Source organism: Homo sapiens, chromosome 8 (genome assembly GCF_000001405.40).
Source record: "Homo sapiens chromosome 8, GRCh38.p14 Primary Assembly".
NCBI lineage: Eukaryota > Metazoa > Chordata > Mammalia > Primates > Hominidae > Homo > Homo sapiens.
Window position 1 is genome coordinate 140,078,756 of NC_000008.11, and position 22,304 is coordinate 140,101,059.

Below are 22,304 nucleotides of genomic sequence, written 5' to 3' on the forward strand. Positions count from 1 at the left end.
CAGAGGTCTGCACTCTAACACCAGGTCAGCCACCTCCCCTCCCTGCCCCCAGTCACCACCAGTCAACAGGGGGCCTACCCAGCAATGGCTCAAGGCTTTTCAACTCTGACATTCCTAAAGCTGGATGGATCCTATCATCTCTCCAGCAACTGTACAGCTTTCCAGTGATATGGTTTGGCTGTGTCCCCACCCAAATCTTATCTTGAATTGTAGCTCCCATAATTCCCATGGGAATTATGTCATGGGAGGGACCCAGTGGGAGGTAACTGAATCATAGGGGTGGGTATTTCCAATGCTGTTTTCGTGATGGTGAATAAGTCTCACGAGATCTGATGGTTTTATAAAGGACTGTTCCCCTGCACATGCTCTCTTGCCTGCTGCCATGTAAGACGTGACTTTGTTCCTCATTCACCTTCTGCCATGATTATGAAGTCTCCCCAGCAATGTGGAACTGTGAGTCCATTAAACCTCTTTCCTTTATAAATTACTCAGTCTCGGGTATGTCTTTATTAGCAGAGTGAGAACAGACTAATACAGATGGCCAGAAGCAACAAAGAATCTGAGAAGAGTTCAGACTTTGAATGGGTGACACTTAGTTCACTCTTGGTTCTGCTCCTTTAACAGGTGTTTGAATTTGGCAAGTTCCTTAACTTGATGAGGCCCCAGAGAAGTAAGATAACACTCCCCTGGAAAGTGCCTCCAGGACCAGAGAGGCCACAAGCAGCGGCTCCAGCAGAAAAGAGGCACCTGCAGAAGGGCAGTGAAGTTTGTTCATATTTATTACAAGTGCTCTCCCTACACCCAAGGACCTGGACTATTGTTCTCCCCACTTTATAACTACAGTGGCACACTGGCAACAAAAACGTCTAATTGTGCATAATAATAAAAAGGCAGGCCAGGCATGGTGGCTCATGCCTGCAATCCCAGCACTTTGGGAGGCCAAGAGGGCGGATTGCTTGAGGTCAGGAGTTTGAGACCAGCCTGCCCAACGTGGCAAAACTCCATTTCTACTAAAAATACAAAAATTGGCCAAGCGTGGTGGTAGATGCCTGTAATCCCAGCTACTCAGGAGGCTGAGCCAGGAGAATCGCTTGAACCTGGGAAGTGGAGGTTGCAGTGAGCCAAGATTGCACCACTGCACTCCAGCCTGGGCGAGAGAGCACAATTCTGTCTCAAAATAATAATAATAATGATAATAATAAAAATGAAGAAGAAGGAGGAGGAGGAGGAGGGGAAGAAGAAGGCGATGGCATCACTTTCCCCTGGTCAGATGTTATTTCAGCTCAAAGTTTGCTTTAAGAAATGACACCTTGGAATTAACCCTGTTTCATCAAAAGGCCAAGATTCCCAAGAAGAGATGTTGAATGATCCAGGGGAATCAAGTACATACAAGGTCATAGAAGGCACATACATGGTCAGTGATGAACATTCCATATCATGTGTGGGTCTGTAATAGTTCTCCCTGTAACTTAACACTCAGCACTGTGGAAATTGAGAACCACATGAGTAAACTTTCTTTCACTTGTGATGCACAACAGCTAACAGTACAAAACACCACGCCACACTCATTCTTGTCTTAGTCCATTTGGTGTTGCTGCAACAGAATACCTGAGTGTGGGTAATGCGTAAAGAAAAGAGGTTTATTTTGCTATGATTCTGGTAGCTGGAATGTCCACAAGCATGGCACTGGCATCTGTTCGGCTTCTGGTGAGGGCCATGGGCTGCGTCAAGATGTAGCAGACAAGAAGAAACACCAGAGGGCATATGCAAAGAGACGTGCATAAGGAGTGAGTCTTGCTTTATAACAACCCACTCTCATGTTGACTGATCCAGCCCCATGACAGCGAGAACTCTCTCAGGAGACAGCACCAATCTATTCCGGAGGGTTCAGCCCCCATGACCCAATCACCTCCCGCTAGGCCCCACCTCCCAACACTGCCATGCTGGCAGTTAAACTTCAAGCAAGAGTTTTGGTGGAAACAAACCACATCCAAACCATAGCACCTGTCACACTCACAAACCCTAAAAACATGAATTCTAGTGCTATGGGCCAGAGCTTTCATCATGTGTGTAATGAACCTGCAAACACGCTCAAGTGCCAAAGAAATAGGCACAGAACCAGAAAGCTTCTGTTGAATGCTTCAGAGCACAAAGGGTTTCATGTCCACTCTCTCCCGAGGTCCTCATGGAAGGATGGTGAGGAAGGTGTTGCCATAGCCCATGGTGTCCACGGTACAAAGCCTGGACTCCTGCTGTGCCACCAACCAGGAAAGCCCCCTCCTCCAGGGAGGCACCCACCCTGGCTCTGGAGGTGTGACCAAAGTTTTCTCAGAGAAGCAAGGCCAAGATTAACCATCCTATGCCATCTATCCCCAGTGCGTCTGCAGCTGAGAAGCCTGCCCTCCTTCCTCAGCAGCACACTCTGCCTGGACCTCTGCTCCTCACAGTCCACTACCACATCTCAGGCTGTTCAGCACCCATCAGCCTGGAATCCCAGCTCTGGCGTCTCTCCACAGAAGATGGCTCCAATGTCTTCTCTTTATTCTCAGTATTTTGCTCCACATAGTCAAGGTGAAGAATAAAATGAATGCTTTTTTTTTTTTTTTTTGAGACAGAGTCTCACTCTGTTGCCCAGGCTGGAGTGCAGTGGCACAGTCTCAGCTCACTACGACCTCCGCCTCCCAGGTTCAAGCAATTCTCGTACCTCAGCCTCCTAAGTAGCTGGAATTACAGGTACCCACCACCACACCCAGCTAATTTCTGTATTTTTAGTAGAGATGGGGTTTCACCATATTGACCAGGGTGGTCTCAAACTCCTGACCTCAGGTGATCCGCCCACCTCAGCCTCCCAAAGTGCTGGGATGACAGGCGTGAGCACTGCGCCCGGCCAATCAGTACATTTAGAAATGCACATTTGATTCCTGTGTAAGGCATTTCGCATAAAAACACTTACAAATGAGGGAAAACCATGTCAAGTCGCACGTTCTTTTGGGGCGGGGACCAGAAAAAGATGGTCACCCAAATGTTTCAATCTGCTATTCTCTCAAGACAAGGCTGCCTTCCACCCACCAGTCCATGTGCCCCTCAGTCCATATCTCTGTCCTCAGCATTGCGCCCGAGGCCCGGCCTACAGGAGGAACTCCGTGAATATGACTTAACTAGCACTCACTGCAGTTTCTAGATGTTGGTACCATCTCTGCCTCTCCCAGGGGACCACGCACACTCTTACTCACCTCCAACTCCTCAGGCCCAGCCTTCTCTAGCACACAGCATGTCTTCAAAGCAAGCCTGGGAACCAAATCAAATTGAAGCGTGCTTAACAAGCAAAGGATGTTGTCAGGGAAAGCAGCAGCTTTAAAATGTTTTGACCCATTTCTTCCTTATCTGAAATGTGAGTTTCTCTCCAGCCCATATGAAAGCCACATGTTTCTGTTATCAGACCCAACAGCCACATAAAAGCTACATGTTTTTCTGACCTGGGCCCAGCAGTGATTTTTTTTTTTCCCTAAGAATTTAAAGGAAGGAAGAACCTGAAATATAACATTAGACAGCAATGTGTTTTCTAAGGATGAAAAATGTGCTGAATAAAGTGTGGAATCATTTTTTTTCCTCGACACAAATATAACTCCATCCCAGCTTGCCCCAGTGAGAAATAATGCCCCAGAAGCATCAGCAGAAAGGGCATCTGCATTTCCCAAATAATAAAGACAGGTGAGAGGCGAAAGTGCCACCATGTCTTGATATGTTAATGCATTTTAACAACCTAATTAACATTAGGTGGTGACAGATACACAAAAGAAAAGGGGTAAAGGAGTAAAGGAATATAAATGACTGAATTTGAAAATACTGCTTTGAATAGCCTAGCCTTTGACAAACTGTTATTAACTTCATATTTTTCCAGCCTGATGTTCACATTAATTTTTCTGCTAGAAATACAGCTTTTGCAAAAGATTGTTAAACACGTTCTTTTCTCCTATTGTTAAACAAAATACATCAAAATGGTCTGATTTAGTTCAAGATTGTGTGGCTGGAGGTCACAATTCTATGTATTTCAGACAAGGGGCATCCTCAAACTCAGCTGGTCACGTTGACTTGGGACTGCTTTTCTGGGAAGCAATTTGACAGCAGGTAACAAAGGACTTAAAAATGTTCACATTGGCCAGGCGCGGTGGCTCACGCCTGTAATCCCAGCACTTTGGGTGGCCGAGGCAGGTGGATCACAAGGTCAAGAGATCGAAACCATCCTGGCCAACATGGTAAAACCCCCTCTCTACTAAAAATAAAAAAATCAGCTGGGCATGGTGGCATGTGCCTGTAGTCCCAGCTGCTCGGGAGGCTGAAGCAGGAGAATCGCTTGAACCTGGAAGGCGGAGGTTGCAGTGAGCTGAGATCGTGCCACTGCACTCCAGCCTGGGTGACAGAATGAGACTCCATCTCAAAAAAAAAAATTCACATCTTTGGACTCAGTAATTCTGCTTCAGAGAATCTATCCTAATAATATGACCAGGAAAACCTTTCCACGGAGATATCAAACAGTGTTTAATAAAATTACAAATAAATGGGGCAGTATCTCAAGGTCTAACATTGGGAAAAATATTCAGAATATTCTGATAACATCGCTGACAGTCTTTACAATTACACTGACGAACATTGAGTGGAATGGGAAAATGCTTCTGTATTAGCGCTGAGTGAATAAGGTAGAGCGCAGAAACGCACACGCAACGCAGTACCCAGGGAAGAGCGAGAACCACAGAGAGAAAGGTGAGGACGGAAATCTCAGCACCACCGTTCACAAGCTGGGAGGTCTTGGCCAAACCACCTAACCTCGCTGCCCTTCCATTTCTATTTGTGTAAACTGGAGAAAAGAATACCCACAGAAGGGTTTGGTGTTTTTTTGTTATTTTGTTTTTGTTTTTGTTTTTGTTTTTTGAGATGGAGTCTCGCTCTGTCACCCAGGCTGGAGTGCAGTGGCGTGATCTCAGCACACTGCAACGTTTGCCTCCTAGGTTCAAGTGATTCTCCCACCTCAGCCTCCCAAGTAGCTAGGATTACAGGCACGGGCCACCACATCCAGCTAATTTTTGTATTTTTAGTAGAGATGGGGTTTCACCATGTTGACCAGGCTGCTTTTGAACTCCTGACCTCGTGATCCGCCCGTCTCAGCCTCCCAAAGTGCTGGGATTACAGGCATGAGCGCCGCACCTGGCCCAGGCTTGGGTTTTTGTTTGTTTGTTTAAGATTCAGGATCTTGCTGTGTTGCTCGGACTAGAGTGCAGTGGCTGTTCACAGGCACCATCATCCAAGTGACTGTTTTAATAAAAAGCTTAGAATAGTATGTATCATGGAGTAGGCACTCAGAAAATGGTAGCTATTATTATTATAATTATGCATAGAAAAGGGAATAACAACATACAATGATTGAGGCTGGGCAGTGGAACCATGGTTAATTTTTTTCCTCCAACATTCTTACAATTTTAGCATCTTCTATAGTAAACATGTTATACTGCTATAATGAAAATAAATCTCTATAAATCTAAAACTGTCCACTTAAAAATCCTAAATAGATAGGGTAATAAAAATATTATTAGTCTCCTCACTTTCACTTCCTTTCTGCCTCAGATGGGAACCCAGCTGTTTTAATCCACATATAATTGCCTCATCCATGGTAAACAGGCTGAGCGTGTCCCTTCTCTGGTTAAAAGCCTTCAATAGTAGCCTATAGGATGATATCCAGGCTCACCACATGACACTCAAGGGCCTTCATGATCTGACCCAAGCCTACCTTTCTAAAAGGCCAGCATGGAAATCAGAATGTATCACTTCCCCAGTGCTAATGTCGCCTTCTGAGTTCTTCTGCCCAAGAACCGCCGAGGACAAGGCTGCTGACTGACAGGCAGGCCCAGGACTGTCCAAGGCTCCCAGTGGTGAGCAGCATCCTGAAAGATCTGGCATGGTCCTTGGCCCCTCAGCCAGGTGATGCATCTGTCAGAAAGCCCTGGCTCTGGGGCCTGAAACCTCAAAGGGTAGGATAAGCTTTTTCCTCCCTTGGAGACGTTTACCAAGCATGAGTAAGTGCCAGCCACAGGGCTAAGCTCTTGCCTGGTATCTTCTATCCTTGGAGTAAGTGTATCATTAGGCTCCTGTTACAGACAGGAAACTGATATCCAGTGGGGTATGGTAACTTGCCCAAGAGGAGAGGCCTGGGATGAGCGTTAGGCTGGACTCCGAGGCCTATGCTCGCAACGCTCGACTCTGAAAGCTTTACATCTGTGTGATCTATAGCCAATCCAGGTACAGATTCATGGAGAGTGGAGATGGGGGTGCAGGGAGAGCACACTCTGCAGAGCTCCATGTTTCACTGCAAACACCTTTTGCAAACCTCATGCCCCATGACTCTTTGAAAAAGAGAGTTCCCCGACGCTCCACAGTCTCTCCTGCTGTAGTTACAGGAGTGACGTGGACTATGTGATGAAGGCTCCACGAGCCCACACGCCCACGTCCAGCAGGACTACACCACTTGCCCTTATTTTACACTTTGGGTTCCTGCTGCATAAGTATGTTTGCAGAAAGAATCTTACTGTTTAAAAAAAAAAAAAAAGGCTTGGAAACCACTGGTCTAGACTGAAAAACAGAAATTTCAACCTCTTGTATCTTTACCATCCTGATAAAATCTCTCTCTTTAAATATAAACCATCCTTTCTTTTCCATGCAGAAGCTCTTTCTGTTGTGAAATGAGAACCACCAAAACCTCTCTCGAATGGAAATGCCAGGGAAGCCCCGTCAGGCAGCCCGGCCTAAGCTCTGAGGACTGGGTTCACTGAAGCCGACGTGCTGGAGGGAGCCCAGGACTTTCAATCCCACCAGGTGACCAATTCTGCTATTTCAGAGTGAGCATCCCCCTTCTGCTCTGCCTACTCACTTAGAGAAGAAAGGGGCAAGTCATGGACGGCAGCAGCCTGCTGAGGTCCACGCCACCCTGCCCCTACAAAAGCAGATGACAGCCTCTGCTGTGGGTAATCGTGTCCCGATCTGGCGCGTTCCACATGGGGAGCCACAGCCTATCTCTGTCAACGCATTGCCTCTCATTTCTCTGATTCATTGTTAAAAATAAACATTTCTTCTTCAAAGTGCTGGCAGAACTCTCCCCTAAGCCTATAGCTTCCCCCCACCCCACACCCCCTTAGGAATCACTGTGGTTTTTTCTAAGGGTAGGCTGGCAGAAGGAAATAAAAATGAAGCCGTTCAGACTTGCACACACAACTCTAAGAAGACTTCTCCATTTTCTAACTATGACTTTCCCCACCTGAAGCAGAAGGCAACCTAGCAGGTTACCAGATCCTTCCCATCCTCCTGAAGACTAAACCAGAAACAAAGCCTAACCAGGGCTTGGATCGTGTGCTGGAGAGCGGGTATGGTGTGGGTGAAAGACACAGGTTTTGAAATGTGCTACCACAAAGAAAGTACAAGAGGATCCCAGAGTATGGAGGATGAAGAAGGAGGGGAGAGAGGAGATGGTGGGAGAGGAAGAAGGACAGGGGAAGACGATGAAAGGAGCAGGGAGAGGCAAGAAGAGACAGAAGAAGCGGGGTAGAAATGGAAGGGGAGCAGGTGAGGCAGTCGGTTGAAATGACACGTCTCTCCACCAACAATTTTGCACTGCAGCCCCACATAGCCCCTTTCCTCTGTGATGAGGGCAGCAGCCTCCCCATGGCTCTCAGGGGCCACAGCTCCACCTGTGCCCTGGTGCCCAGCTCCTGCTGCCTCTGGGGGATTGGTCCCAGGCACCCCATCCCGTCCTGCTCCACCCGTCTCTTCCACTGTTCAATCCTTGTCAGTGCACACAATCACACACTGCCAACACCACCTTCAAAACATCCCTCTCTCGGCCAGGCGTGGTGGCTCATGCCTGTAATCCCAGCACTTTGGGCGGCCGAGGCTTGGGATCCTGGGTGGATCACAAGGTCAGGAGTTCAAGACCAGCCTGACCAAGATGGAGAAACCCCATCTCTACTTTTTTAAAAATACAAAAATTAGCCGGGTGCAGTGGCAGGCGCCTGTAATCCCAACTACTCGGGAGGCTGAAGGAGAATTGCTTGAACCCAGGTGGCAGCAGTTGCAGTGAGCCAAGATCACGCCACTGTACTCTAGCCTGGGCAACAGAGTGAGACTGTCTCAAAAAAAGAAAAAAAAAATCCCTCTCTTCATCCCACACCTCCCTCCAGCCACCATCCTGTTTCCCTGTTCTCTACAGCAGAGCTCCTGCAAGCACTGCCTGCTCGGGCTGGCTCTACTTCTTGCCACCGTCAGCCTGCCATCCTCCTACTCCTCTGAAATGACTCTTTCCAATCTCAAAGCCAGTGGTCAACATCCTGGCCTTGTCTTCCTGACGTTCTCAGCAGCTGTCATTTGCTCCTAAGCCACGCCCCATGTTTCCAGCTTTTGAGCTGCCTGCTTTTCTTCCCAGTCCCTGGCTCTTCCTCCTCTGTCTCCCGTGCCCTCCCCCCGGCCCCATCACCCTGCAGATGTCGGGGTGCCTCGAAAGCACAGCACTCTATCTCTGCAACCCCCTCAGGAATGTCATCCAGGCCCAGGATTTTAAACGCTGCCTCTAAGCTGCTGACTCTCACACTTCTCCCTCCAGCCCAGACCTCTCCCTGGAGCACAGATGGAACACCAACAGGCTCCCGCACAGCCCCGCTGAAGAGCCGAACGGTGCTCACACATGACTCGCCTGAAGAATATGGTTGTGTTTTCCCCACATTCTAATCCCCACCGAGCTTCCTCCATCTCAGTAAATAAAACAACCACCGTCCAGCTGCTCAGGCCAAAACCTTAAAAGACACCCTTGCTTATTCTTCAGTGCATCTAAGGTCTGACCACTGTCGCCAACCTCCTCTGCTGCCGCCCTCATCCAAGCCACTGTCATCGCTTGTCTGGACAATGCCACTGGCTCCCCACCTCGTCTCCCCTGCCTCTACTCGTCCACGTTTCCCTCTCCACCCTGCAATCCATCTCCAACCAGCAGTCACAGTGACCATTCTCATGCATGACGAGCAACCGCACCATTCCCTGGCTCTCTCCTGCAGCTTGTCGCCGCCAGCCCCAGAAAAACCCACCATCACTGACAAGGTCCTGGAGAGCAGGCTTCAGCTCCCAGCTCCTCCATTACCACGTGGTACCATCTCTGGGCCTCTGCACCAGCTGTGATTTCTGCTTGGAAGATGTGGCTTACCAGAGCCCCTAGCTCTTTAGATGGCTATCTCTTTCTCATGGTTCAGACCTCAGGACAAATGCTACCTCCTCAAGAGATGCTCCTTGGTCACTCTGGCTATACAAGCCTCCCTAGTCCTTCTGGACCATATACTCATATTTCTTCCTGGAACTGGCACTCTCAGAAGCTATTTGATTTATTTGTTCACATTCATACTTTACCCTCTCCTCATTAGAATATAAGCTCCGTGATGGCAGGACTTTAAATGTCTTGTTCACAATTGTATTTCCAGTGTCCCAAAACCCATTTGACAGATAGTAGGTGCTCAGTATTTGTTAACTGATAGTTATGCAAGAAATGTGAAAATCTATCACCTAAGAGGTATCCATCCTCAAAACCATCTTAGTGATAAGAGTCCACCAACCTAGAGATAAACAAGAACAAACTTGGGAATGGAAAAGTTGTAGCACAGAAGTGGCAAGCCTCATCTCCGCTTAAACACACAACGAGGACTGGGACCTTTTGAAATTATGACTTGAGAGCTGAATATAAATGCTATAACCCTTAACAAAGAAGAAATGGCCAGTACTTGAAGGTGGGGTGGGAGATGGTAAAAAGTCTAAGTGCATAAATTCCCTTATTTTTCCTAACAAGAAACTCATCAGTAATTTGAAAATGTGACATATACAGTTGAACAATACAACTACGCTACTTCCTCAGGTTTTTCACAATCTTTTTTCTTCATCTTAAAGAGACCTGATAGGGAATCATATCTCTCGTCATGAATAAACATATCAGAAGCTCAGCAATTCCATAAACTTCACTTCGACTTATTTTTTTCTCTGATATGCTAACGTAAAATTAAATTAATAGTTTTATTTAAAAGAGCAAGTAGAGTACGATCCACTTTTAGGGGAAATAACTTCTCCTTCCTGCCAGTCTTTCTCAGCACACGTAAATGCAGAGGACGGGTCTGTTTGAAGGTTTCTCTAACATTAATAACGTCGATTTCTGGGTAGTAAGGTTTGGGAAGCCTTTTTCTCTAGACCCTTCTGCTGTGCTTGTATTTATAAAAATGAAAATCATATTTAAGCAAACTGCACTTAAACAACAAACACAGAAATAAAAACAATAGCTCCACCTCATGATTTAGCAAACCAAGCTCCCACTGTGGGCTGTACAAGTTTCTCCTCGAAGCCCCTCAATGCACTGATGGCCTTTTTCTTCTCTCCCACTGGGCAGCCCGCTTCAAAAGCCTCTTCCCCCCCGAGTGTTCCCCAGAGGCAGCACCTCATCCTCTTCTATCCGCACGAATGTCTCTATCTTTCAGAGGTCAGAAATACACTCATCTGAAGCCCTTGAGGCCAGGTGTTTTTCAGAACTAAGACTTGCTCGGGTTTTAGAAAGACCATAGGGTATATACACCATGGACCAGGCAGCCCCCTGTAACCAGATGCATTAAGTCTGCAGTCAAATCAATAAATAGTCCTACTACGTGAAATAAGGGAAGACTTTAAATGGCCCCATACAAATTTATGCCAGGTTTCACCACTAATGGGCTTGGATACCATCTTCATGAAAAGAAAAGCCTTTCTTTGGGGAGCTTTTCGGATTTTGGAATAGCAGGCAGAGGGCCATGGAGCTGCCTAAGCTGCCTTCCTGCCTGTCTCCCCAAGAGACACTGAGCTCCATAAAGATGAGAACCTCGCCTTCTTTATCACAGATTCCCAGAGCCAAGCAGAGGGTCTGGCACACAGGAGAGGTCCCGCACTTGATAGATGAGTAGGCTGGTAGACCTTCTGAGTGTTTGCTTAAAAACATAAGGGCAGGCAGCTAGGTGTGGTGGCTCACACCTGTAATCCCAACACTTTGGGAGGCCGAGGCGGGCATATCACGAGGTGAGGAGATCAAGACCATCCTGGCCAACACGGTAAAACCCTGTCTCTACTAAAAATATAAAAAAAGTAGCTGGGTGTGGCGGTGCACGCCTGTAGTCCCAGCTGCTCGGGAGGCTGAGGCAGGAAAATCACTTGAACACGGGAGGTGGAGGATGCAGTGAGCCGAGTTCACACCACCGCACTCCAGCCTGGCGACAGAGCGAGACTCTGTCTCAAAAACAACAACAACACAACAACAACAAAAATAAGGGCAGGCAATGTCTATGCAAATTCAAATACAACTGTGACTATGTTGGTCTCCTCTGGCTATTATAACATATGTAGGTTGACCCGGTTTGAAGTCATTTGAGTGTGTCTGTATGAATTCAGGTTCTGCCCATAATATGGAAATATTCACACCAATATATACACACGGAAACACACTGTTCACCTGGCACCAGACACTGCCTCCCGCCCCATGAGCAGCTCCCACAGAAGCCCTCCTACCGCACGCCACACCTGCTCAGACCGAGGGCTGAGAGAACTCAGCTCTTACGATGCCCCAGGTTCAGAGTGAACCCTAAGTGGAAGGCAAGTTTCATTTCTTCACCTGACATTAAACAGCTTATACTCTTAAAAAATAACCTATTATCTTAGCTCCACTGGCGTATTACCAAGAACCAGGTGACTCATTTCCAGGTCACCCGGGAGACCAGGGGGTTGGAGCTAATCCATAATTCCAGATTTCCTGGCCACGCCAGCTGCGTAGAGGTCCGGGCCAGGCCCTTAGCACACTTCATGGCTAACCCTGAAAATCGCCATCCCCCACCAAGTGTACCCATCCCTGCTTTCAGAACAAAGTACATGAGCCCATCCCAGGATAAGGAGGGTAAAGAGCTGGGCATCTCATTAATGCCTGGCTCCGATCTTGAGCTCATAGAGCAGCCTTGCCTTGCAGCCTGGCTTCCCATGCAGCTGTTCATTGACAGCGGAGGCCAACAGGCTGACGTGATGGACAGACCATTTCTAGGCCATATTAATGGGCTGGCTTCTGGGTGATACGTCTTAGCTCCAGAAGCCGGACTGGTGTGACCCTGCTCCCAGAGACTCGAGCGCTCCCAGTGCTACAAAAATTAAAAGTCGCAGTCCAAAAGGCTGAGGATCAGCCTCAAGGACTGACAGAAGACTGCAGAGAGAGAGACAACAAACCATAATTATATAAGAACAAGTCATAAAAGGCAAAACCCTGGGTAAGAGATCACATCCCTTCTTAATGAAAGCAGAGGCACAGTGAGACGCAATAGCTCATCTGAAGCCCCACGACTCGGAGGTGGCAGCCTGGCCCCATGCATGTCGCTGCAGGCTCTCCGTCTCCTGCCCCCTCATCCTGCACCCCCTGAGATATCTGCCTTCCTGTCAAGGGTCCAACATACCATGATGGCCTCAGCAGGCTTCATAACCCTAGGGCCTAATACCAGACCTGGCTCACACTAAATGCTGAATAAATGTGCAAGAAAGACTGGCAGGAAGATGGATGGGCGAGGCTGAGTTAATAGGAGGGGTCTCCGTTTCATGCTCTGGGAAAGGGCAGCCAGGGCTTTCAGAGTCCCAAGAACTCCTCCCAAGTTTCCAGCTGAGCTTGCTTCAAGGAAGGACACTTTGAAAATGTCTCTACTTCCTAGGCACCGCAATGTTACTACCAAGGGTATTTCCTGTGGAAACCAGGGGTTCTCTTTGGAAGATGAGGGAAAACCTCATTATAAAGTCAAGGATGGAGCTAATATTTGGAGAAATAATTAACTGCAGTGATCTAGATAACAGCAGAGATGAAAGACAGCAGGAAGTCAGCTGCGGCAGGGGCAAGAGGGGCCTCTGAAGTTGGCTTCAAAGGGTTCTGATCTGCTGTCCCGCCTGCTGCGATGAAGTTACAAAAATAACAGAGAATTAAAAACTGTCCTCAACCCAGGACTGCTCTACCCAGCAGTCTCCTCTCAACTGTCGGTGACTCCCTACTGCCTGGGGACAGAGGCCAACCCCAGCGTGCTTTCAAGACCTTCTACAGTGGCGCCCATTCCACCTCTGCAGACCCATCTCCCGCCGGCCCCACAGCGACCCTTCGATTCAGCCGCAGAACGCTGACCACCCCCAGCCCAGACCTCTGCTGTCTCCTCAGTCTAGAAACTCCTCCCTCCTCCTGCCGGCCAGCTCCACTTAGCCAATTTCCAAGCACTCCAAAAAAAAAAAAAAAACAAACCTTTTTTACCAAAATATTGATGGAAGCCACCATTAGTTATGTACTCTACTAATAAAAGACATTATTTAATCTATTCTTCAACATTTTTTTTTACTTTAATTTTTCTTTTTTTTTTTTTTTGAGACGGAGTTTTGCTGTTACCCAGGCTAGACTACAAGGGCGCAATCTCGGCTCACTGCAACCTCCACCTCCCATGTTCAAGCAATTCTCCTGCCTCAGCCTCCCAAATAGCTGAGATTACAGGCGCCCGATGCCACGCGAGGCTAATTTTTGTAGTTTTAGTAGAGATGGTTTTCACCATGTTGGCCAGGCTGGTCTTGAACTCCTGACCTTAAGAGATTCACCTGCCTCAGCCTCCCAAAGTGCTGGGACTACAGGCATGAGCCACCACGCGCGGCCACAGTGCATAGAGCATCTAAAATATATATCATTTTGTTTTCCAAGTGAGAAAAGGAATCAGAGAGACTGAGTAACTTATCCAAGGGCACACAGCTAATGAGTCCAGGAATCAAACCACAGACTGACTGGCCCCTCAAGCACTTCTCTTTCCCCATATCCCACCCCAATAAGACCAAAAGTTACTACTGCCTACCTCTGGTGACAAATGGATGATGGAGAGAAAACATCTCACTACGTGATCATCTCTGGGTGCTGGAAATGATGGTGACTTTTTAAGACATTTCTGTATTTTCCATATTTTTGTATTTGTTTTAAACATACAGCATAAGGGTTAAGAGAATGGAACTCAGATTCAGAAAGAACTTGATTCTAGGCTCAGTCACTTAGGAGTTATGAGGGCTTACACCCTCTAGGCTTTATTTTCCTAATTTGTTAAAGGGGGATAATCCATTTACTTCAAGATTATTATGAAATCAAATTAGGCAGCATATATAAAGTACTTAGCACATGGCCTAATGCAAGTATCTGAATGAAAAAAAAAAAAAGCTTTCCAGAATGTCCCCCTGCTCATCTTCCTCTTGTCAGCCTACACATAAACCATCCCCAAACACTCAAAAATCCTTGCCATTGGAAGACCTCCAAAATCTGGGATAAGGACCTTTCCCTGTGGCTTTTGTTCTAGTAGCTACCAATACTTCTTGACAGAGATTCATGTTCTCTGCATTCCCTGGAGGTGCATCCTGTGCAGGAAGTTGCTACGGGGTCCCTGTGAGGCTGGAGTTCTACTGGTGTTCCTTGCCTAGTCTTGGGAATAGTGGATGATTCCCAGCAGATGGTGACCTGAAGAACAAGCTCTTAAAGTCCAACAACTATTAGAAACAAGGCTTCAGGCCAGTTGCGGTGGCTCACACCTGTAATCCCACCATTCTGGGAGGCCAAGGCAGGCAGATCACTTGAAGTCAAGAGTTCAAGACCAGCCTGGCCAACATGGTGAACCCCATCTCTACCAAAAATATAAAAAATTAGCCAGGCATGATGGCGTGTGCCTGTAATCCCAGCTACTCAGGAGGCTGAGGCAGTAGAATTGCTTGAACTCAAGAGGCGGAGGGTGCAGTGAGCCAAGATCGTGCCACTGCACTCCAGCCTGGGCGAGAGAGCACGACTTCGTCTTAAAAAAAAAAAAAAAAAAGACTTCAGACAGTAAACTAAAGTGTTTAAAGCTGGATAGAATTTAGAGGCCAAACCTGACCCCTCATTGGGCAGAGATGAAAGCTGAGCCCTCCAGAGACAAAGGTGCCTGCTTGAGGTCACCTGACAATGACTGGCAGGGCTAGACTTAGAATCCCAACCATGGCCACACACCTAATTTCTTTCACCCTTAGTCATCCTCATGACTGTTGCTTTCTTTCCAAAACTCCCCATGGAGTCCACACTGCATCGATTATGAAGTCTAACGAAGTTCCCTCCAGGACATACCAGCCAGTCCAGGAAGGGTTCCATACTGACCCTCCCCAGGTGGCTTCCCTTCCCTTGAAGAGCTGAGGAGGTCATGAGAGCACACCTAGACCATCTCCACTCTGACTACCAGGCACATTCTGCCCACTCATCGCACCTCACCCTGTGGACTGACTCTCTCACCAACACCCACCACTCTGAACTTAGAATTGCCAAATTCTTTGGCTGGAGGAGACATGGTGGTCACTTCCAAATAGCAACAGGCACCGCTCACTGAGAAACAGCTGCCTGCAGGGAGGTGCACCCACAGTATGCCTCATCCCAGGAGTACAAAAGGGTGGTCATCTTCCATTTTGCAGAAGAAACTCATGCTTGGGTTTCCAGTAACATGTAGACAGCCTGTGGGTGTGGCAGCGTAGGCAGGCGCAGATCGGGCTGGCTCCGAGAGCCACGCACGGTCATTCCATACCTCAAACTCAATGTCTCCCTCACACCTCCTGCCCACCACCACCCAGAGGCTGCCAAAGGAAAGGTCAGAAAGGGGAAACGTCTTGCCTTTGGCCACCCTGTTAGCCACAGCACTCCATCGTGTATCCACCATGTAACCCAACACAACTGGTACCTACCAGTGACCTGACAGCTACTCGGAGAGGCAGCAGAGTAGAGGGGAGGGAAGGAGAGGGAAGTCCTCAAGAAGAGGGCCTCGTCCTGTAAGCATTCATATCTGACCTAGCACTGGGCACGGTGCCCTGGCAAGCAAGACATCTATGCCGCAACAGAGGCAAGCCTGCACTCTGGGTCCGAATCCCAGCTCCACCATTTCCCAGCATGTAACTCTGGGCAGCTTCCTTCATTTTCTGGGTCTAAGTTCCCTCATCTACAAAACAGGACCAATAGTCCTACCCGACTGGCTTTGTATCAAGAGCACAGCACATGAGGATGTATATCGCACCTAGTACATTTATTTCCTCACCTGCAGTGGGTACTCAAAAATATGGCTGTTGATTACCAGAGTCCATCCATAAATGTTTTATTGAAATAGTAAATGCATAACCCAAGTCTGATTAGAATTGGATTTCCAGAAGCCCAATCCAGTGGTCACTCTACAATAACACAGGGTCTCTTCTTTCCAAACTCCAAACCATGGTGTGCCTGCCGTGGCCACACCTGTCAGGCTACACAAGCAGCAAGGACCCCCTGAGACCTGAACATCAGATGTCTGGCTGGAGGCTTCAGCAGGTCTTCAACGCCATGGCCGGCAGTTCCTCAAAGCTAAAGCTGGTGCGTGAATGAGCTGATCATGATGACAGCTTTATAACATGCACCTGACAGATGGCACGTTGACAGTGAGGGGAGCTTCTCTGGGCTGGGACAGAGAATGGCAAATCAACCATCACCGGAGCAAGGCTCTTCCAGCAGAGCTGTGAGGCACTGGTTAGAAAGCTGATGACCGGCTGTAATCTTGAACAGTTACATTAATTAAAAGCTGCATCTTTATCAAGCAACACTTCCCAGGGAGAGAGAGGAGTGAGAAACACGCAAGTGGAGAGGGAGGCTGCAGGAAGGGGACCCGCTCCCCAGAAGCCCAGCGTGACCTTCAGGCCTCCAGACAGGACCCAAAGAAACCCTGCTGCCCTTTATGTGCCATGAAAAATCAACCCCCACCAAAGAAAACCACTTTCTCACACTCGTGGAGAAATACTTGCAAAATGTATTAAAGGGCGTGACGTGCTAGACACCTGAAATGAGCCAAGTAGAGGGACTGAGAAGAGGGTCTTGGGAGAGAGGAAAATTTTCAGTGGGGTGCTCAGCATCAGCCTTGCCTTATGGAGAAGGTTCTAATTCAGCAAAGACCTGAAAGAGGTGAGGACTTCAGCCTCATAGATAACCAGGGAGGAGCATTTCAGGAAGAGCGGTGCCTCTCCGAGGTGCAGACAACGCCTGCGCTCCGGGTTTGAATTCTACCTCCACCACTTCCCAGCATGTAACCCTGGACAACTTCCTTCATTTTGGGTCTGCTTTCCCTCACCTACAAAGCAGGACCAACGGTACTACCTGCTTGGCTCTGTATCAAGAGTATACCACGTGAGGGAGGGCGCACATTCCACCTAGTACATCTCCTCACTTGGAGGGGGACTCATAAATATGACTGCTCATTACCAGAGTCCACCCATAAGTGTTTGAAATAAGGAATGCACAAACCAAGCCTCCACAAAGACAATAAATTAGCAGTGTGCCCACATATTCTTTCAATAGCTAAAATACACAGGGGCTGAGTGTCGGAGGGAGGAGAGGAGACAGGGAGGTAAGTGGGAGGGGATAAGGTTATGGAGAGCCTTTCAGGCCATTGTAAAAACATTAGATTTTACTCTGAGCAGCTAGGGAGCCACTGCAGAGAAATGATATATTTCACTTAGATGTTAACAGGATCCCTCTGGCCACATGTTGAAAACAAAACAGACTGCAGACAGAAAAGCTGGAAACATGGAACCCAGTTAGGAAATTATTGCAATAATCCAAGTGAGTGTGAATGGTGACCTGAATCCGTGAAAAGAAGGTAAGAAGTAGCTGCTTCCAAATACATTTTAGAGATAGAGAAACCAGAATTCTTGAGGAATAGGTATGAAGTTGAACAGAATGGTAAAGAATGACTCCAACGTATCTGGCTTAAGCAACTGGAAGGAAAAAGTTGCCATCAACAAAGTCAGGGAAATTGTAAAGCCGGTTGGAAGTAAATTGTCAGTCGCGTTGAGTGCAGGATGACTGGAAGACACCCAGTAGAGATACTGGGTAGGTAAGTGGAGAGGAGTGGTTGGAATTGAGAAAATGCAGAAGCTGCCCTCGTCTGATACTGACAGCCACGAGCGTGCAGGAGACCACCGTGAGGAAGTGTGGAAGGAGCAGAGAGGAGGACTAGGACAGGGACGTGGACTGGACGTGAGACATTCCTATGCTGAGAAGTCAAGAAGAATGTGTCCTCGCAGCTCCTCCTGCAGCACCTCACAGTGCACAACCGGCTGGGCCAGCCCATCCAGCATAGAGATGTGAAAACCTGTCCAGGTCGCTGGTGTATAGCCAGAACAATGGCACGGGGCAGGGCAAAGATGCTCACCCAGGTCTCAGGTTGCAGGTGGAGCTGTGTTGCAGTCAGAAGGGGAGGGACCTCCTCTACCCGGCTCCAGGTCTGGTTCTCGTGCACTGCTGCAGCAGTGCTGTCGTTGACAAAGCAAAGACACCTGCCCTGGTCCTCCGTGCAGCTGGCACGGAGTCACAGTCAGCAGAAGAGGAACACACACACCCCATCCCCACCAGGTCCTGAGTGCACAGCCGCAACAGTAACACGGTCCACAGGATGAGACGGCTCACCCGAGTCCGCCATGCGCAGCCCTGCCACTGTCTGCAGGGTAAGGACGCCCACCTGGGTTCTTGTGCCAGCCACAGTTGTGCCACAGTCCGTAGGGTAAGGACTCCCCCAGAGTAAGGACTCCCGCCTGAGTCCTGGCTGCGCAGCCTGTGTTGCCAGTCGCAGGGTAATACACTCGCCTGCATCGTGGGTGCCCCGCCACCGCCCTGCCACAGTCTACAAGGCAAGAACGCCCGTCTGGGTCCGTAGTGTGCAGCCGCAGCTGTGCTGCTGTCCACACCATAAAAACTCCTGGCCACAGACGTGCCACAGTCGGCAGGATAAGAATGCCCAGCTGGATCTTGGGGTGCACAGCCCCAGCTGTGCCGCTGTCCACAGGGTAAGAACGCCTGTCTGGGTGGGTCCTTGGTGCACAACCACAGGCGCGCTGCAGTCGGCAGAGTGAGGAGCCTGCCTGGGTCCTCCATACGCAGTCGCAGCTGTGCCGCTGCTCCCAGGGTCATGACGCCTACCCAGGTCCTTAGTGCGTGGCTACAGACGTGCCGCAGTCCTACCGGGAAAGATGCCAGCTCATGTCCTCAATGAGCAGCTGCAGAATTGCCGCCGTCTGAAGGATAAGGATGCCCACCAACATACGCAGTCGCACCCTTGCCGCAGTCCGCACAGTAAAGACGCTCACCAGGTCCTCCGCAGCCAACCGCAGGGTAGTGTCACCCAGGTAGCTCTCAGTGCCGGCTTCAGCAGCACCAGGCAATCCGCAGGGTAAGGACGCCTGCCGGGGTCCTCCACAGCTATCTGCAGGGTAGGGAACGCTCAGCTAGGTCTCAGTGCAGGGGATTCAGCAGCGCTGAGATCAGCGGGGTAAAGAGCTCGCCCGGGTCATCCGCAGCCATCCACAGCGGAGAACACTCAGCCTAGATCTCAGCGCGAGGCTTCAGCATTCCTGCGATCTCCAGAGCCACCCAGATCCTCCGCAGCCTACCACAGGGGAAGACACCCAGCTAGGTCTCCGTGCGCGGCTTCAGCAGCGGCGCAATCCACAGGGTAAAGAGTCCGCCCAGGTCCTCCGCAGGCTTCCGCAGGGGAGGACACTCAGCTAGGTCTTCAAGCGCGGCTTCAGCAGCACCAGGCGATCCGCAGGCTAAAAACGCCCCCCAGGGTTCTCCGCTGCCATCCGCAGGGCAGGAACACCCGGCTAGGTCTCTGTACAGTTCCCGCAGCACCACCTTCCACAGTATAATGACGCCCGCCCCCGCAGTATAATGACGCCCGCCCGGGTTCTCCGCAGCCGTCCACTGGGTGGGGACACCCAGTTAGGTCTCAGTGCATGGCTTCAGCATCCCCGCGATGCACAAAGTAACGACGCCTCCTCCCTCCTCTCATCCTCTGCAGCCGTCCGCAGAGGACGACACCAGCTAGGTCTCAGTGCGCAGCTGCGGCATTCCTGCTATGCACAAAGTAATGACGCCCACCCAGGTCCTCCGCAGCTGTCCGCAGGGGAAGACACCAGCTAGATGTAAGTGCGCAGCTGCAGCAATCCCGCGATCCACAAAGTAATGACGCCCGCCCAGATCCTCCGCAGCCGTGCACAGGGGAGGACACCCAGGTAGGTCTCAGTGCGCAGCTACAGCATTCCCGCGATCCACAAAGTAACAACGTCCGCCCAGATCCTCCACAGCCGTGCACAGGGGAGGACACCCAGCTACGTCTCAGTGCGGGGCTTTAGCAGCGCTAGGCCATTCACAGGGTAAACACGCCCACCGGGGTTCTCCGTCGCCACCGCAGGGTAAGACACTCAGCTAGGTCTCAGTGCGCAGCTGCAGGAGTGCCGCAGTCCGCAGGGTACTGACGCCCTCCGTGATCCTGCGCAGCCTTCCGCAGGGGAGACACCCAGCTAGGTCTCTGCGCAGCTGCAGGAGTGCCGCAGTCCGCAGGGTACTGACGCTCTCCTGAATCTTCCGCAGCGTTCTGCAAGGGAGACACCCAGCGAGGTCTCTGCGCAACTGCAGTAGTGCCGCAATCCGCAGGCTACTGACGCCCTCCAGAGTTCTCCGCAGCCTTCCGCAGGGGAGACAGGTCTCAGCGAGCAGCTGCAGGAGTGCCGCAATCCTCAGGGTACTGAAGCCCACCCGGGTTCTCCACAGCCTTCCACAGGGGACGACGCACAGCTAGGTCTCAGCTGCTTCAGTATCCCGGGATCCACAAAGTAATGACGTTCGCCCAGATCCTCCGCAGCCGTCCGCAGGGAAGACACTCAGCTAGGTCTCAGTGCGCAGCTGCAGGAGTGCCGCAGTCTACAGGGTACTGACCCCCGCCCGGGTCCCCCACAGCCTTCTGCAAGGGAGACACCCAGCTAGGTCTCTGCACAGCTGCAGGAGTGCCGCAATCCACAGGGTACTGACACCCGCCCGGGTCTCTGCAGCCTTCCACAGGGTAGGAACACCCAGCTAGGTCTCAGTGCGCGGCTTCAGCATCCCCGTGACGCGCAGGGTACTGATGCCCACGCTGGTCCTCCGCAGCCTTCTCCAGGGGAGGACACCCAGCTAGGTCTCTGCGCAGCTGCAGGAGTGCCACAATCCTCAGGGTACTGACGCTCACCCAGGTCCTCCGCAGCCTTCCGCAGGGGAGATACCCAGCTAGGTCTCAGCGCGCAGCTTCAGCATCCCCGCGATCCGCAGAGTATTGACGCCCACCCGGGTCCTCCGCAGCCTAGAGCAAGGGACTGCGGAACGAGTGCCGCAATCTTCAGGGTATTGACGCCCACCCGGGTCCTCCGCAGCCAAGAGCAAGGGACTGCGGAAGGAGTGCCGCAATCTTCAGGGTATTGACGCCCACCCGGGTCCTCCGCAGCCTAGAGCAGGGAACTGCGGAAAGAGTGCCACAATCCTCAGGGTATTGACGCCCACCCAAGTCCTCCGCAGCCTTCCGCAGGGGAGATACGCAGCTAGGTCTCAGTGCGCAGCTTCAGCATCCCTACAATCCGCAGGGTACTGATGCCCACCAAGGTCCTCCGCAGCCGTCAGCAGGGTAGCGACACCCAGCCAGGTCTCAGCGCATGGCTTCAGGAGTGCCTCAATTCACAGGGTACTGACGGTCACCCAGGTCTTCTACTGCTGTATGCAGGGTCGGGACACCCAGCTACGTCTCGGTTCGCGACTTCAGCCGCAACATGATCCGCGTAGTAAGGACGCCTGCCCGCCCAGGTCTTCCATGTACCGCTGCGGCTCTGGCGCAGACTGCAGCGTAAACACCCCTGGTCGTACGTTCGGCCCCGCCCTCAGCCCCTCCCTTCCTGGGCACCATTGGGGCCTCCTTGTTGGCAGGGCTGTGCTCGCACCGGATCCGAAGCGGACTCTGCATTCAGGCTCACGCGCTCTGGAAGGGAAGGGCGCTGGAGATGAGGGTGGCCGTGCGTCTGCGAGCTGTGAAGCCTGTGTTTGTGACTGTAATCTCACTCACGGGTGACAGGGCCCTGAGGATGACTCCGTGTCCTAGACTGCGGGTATTAACATGGGGCCTCTTCCGTGCCTTTCCGAGGCGAAAGCCTGGGTGGGTTCGGAGGCGTCAGCGCTAAAATCCTATAGGCTAAGTTACAGGGCCTTCTCGCTTTATTAACTAAAGGACTAGTAACAGCCTCAGAGCGCTCCCTGGAGGACTATATGTGACGTACTAATTTCTAACAAAAAGTTGAAATTAAGAAATTTTCACCTTTTCATGTTTTTGTACATAGAGTGCTATTTGAAC

General features: G+C 50.3%; 1 protein-coding gene and 1 long non-coding RNA gene across 17 annotated transcripts in view, besides 1 other annotated feature; both read right to left on the minus strand.

Annotated features, from left to right (window-relative positions):
- Window positions 1-22,304, minus strand: part of TRAPPC9 (trafficking protein particle complex subunit 9) — a 730,855-nt gene that overhangs the window by 351,031 nt on the left and 357,520 nt on the right. Inside the window, exon 18 of one of the 16 annotated variants that reach the window (XM_047422298.1) lies at window positions 3,228-3,288. The exons of the other annotated variants lie outside the window; for them this stretch is intronic. Within the exon in view, the coding sequence (XP_047278254.1) occupies window positions 3,244-3,288 (45 nt within the window). The 3' untranslated portion in view covers window positions 3,228-3,243. Of the gene's footprint in view, window positions 1-3,227; window positions 3,289-22,304 lie in introns of those variants that run through there. 16 annotated transcript variants of the gene reach the window in all.
- Window positions 16,139-21,780, minus strand: PEG13 (paternally expressed 13). Its single transcript, NR_144431.1, has one exon. It is a non-coding gene; the product is annotated as a paternally expressed 13 (long non-coding RNA).
- Window positions 21,037-21,536: an enhancer, noted in NCBI's record as "H3K4me1 hESC enhancer chr8:141109891-141110390 (GRCh37/hg19 assembly coordinates)". NCBI's record gives its function as "activates a minimal SCP1, AML or CMV promoter by ChIP-STARR-seq in primed H9 embryonic stem cells {active_cell/tissue: H9 hESC(primed)}" and the evidence as "EXISTENCE:reporter gene assay evidence [ECO:0000049][PMID:30033119]".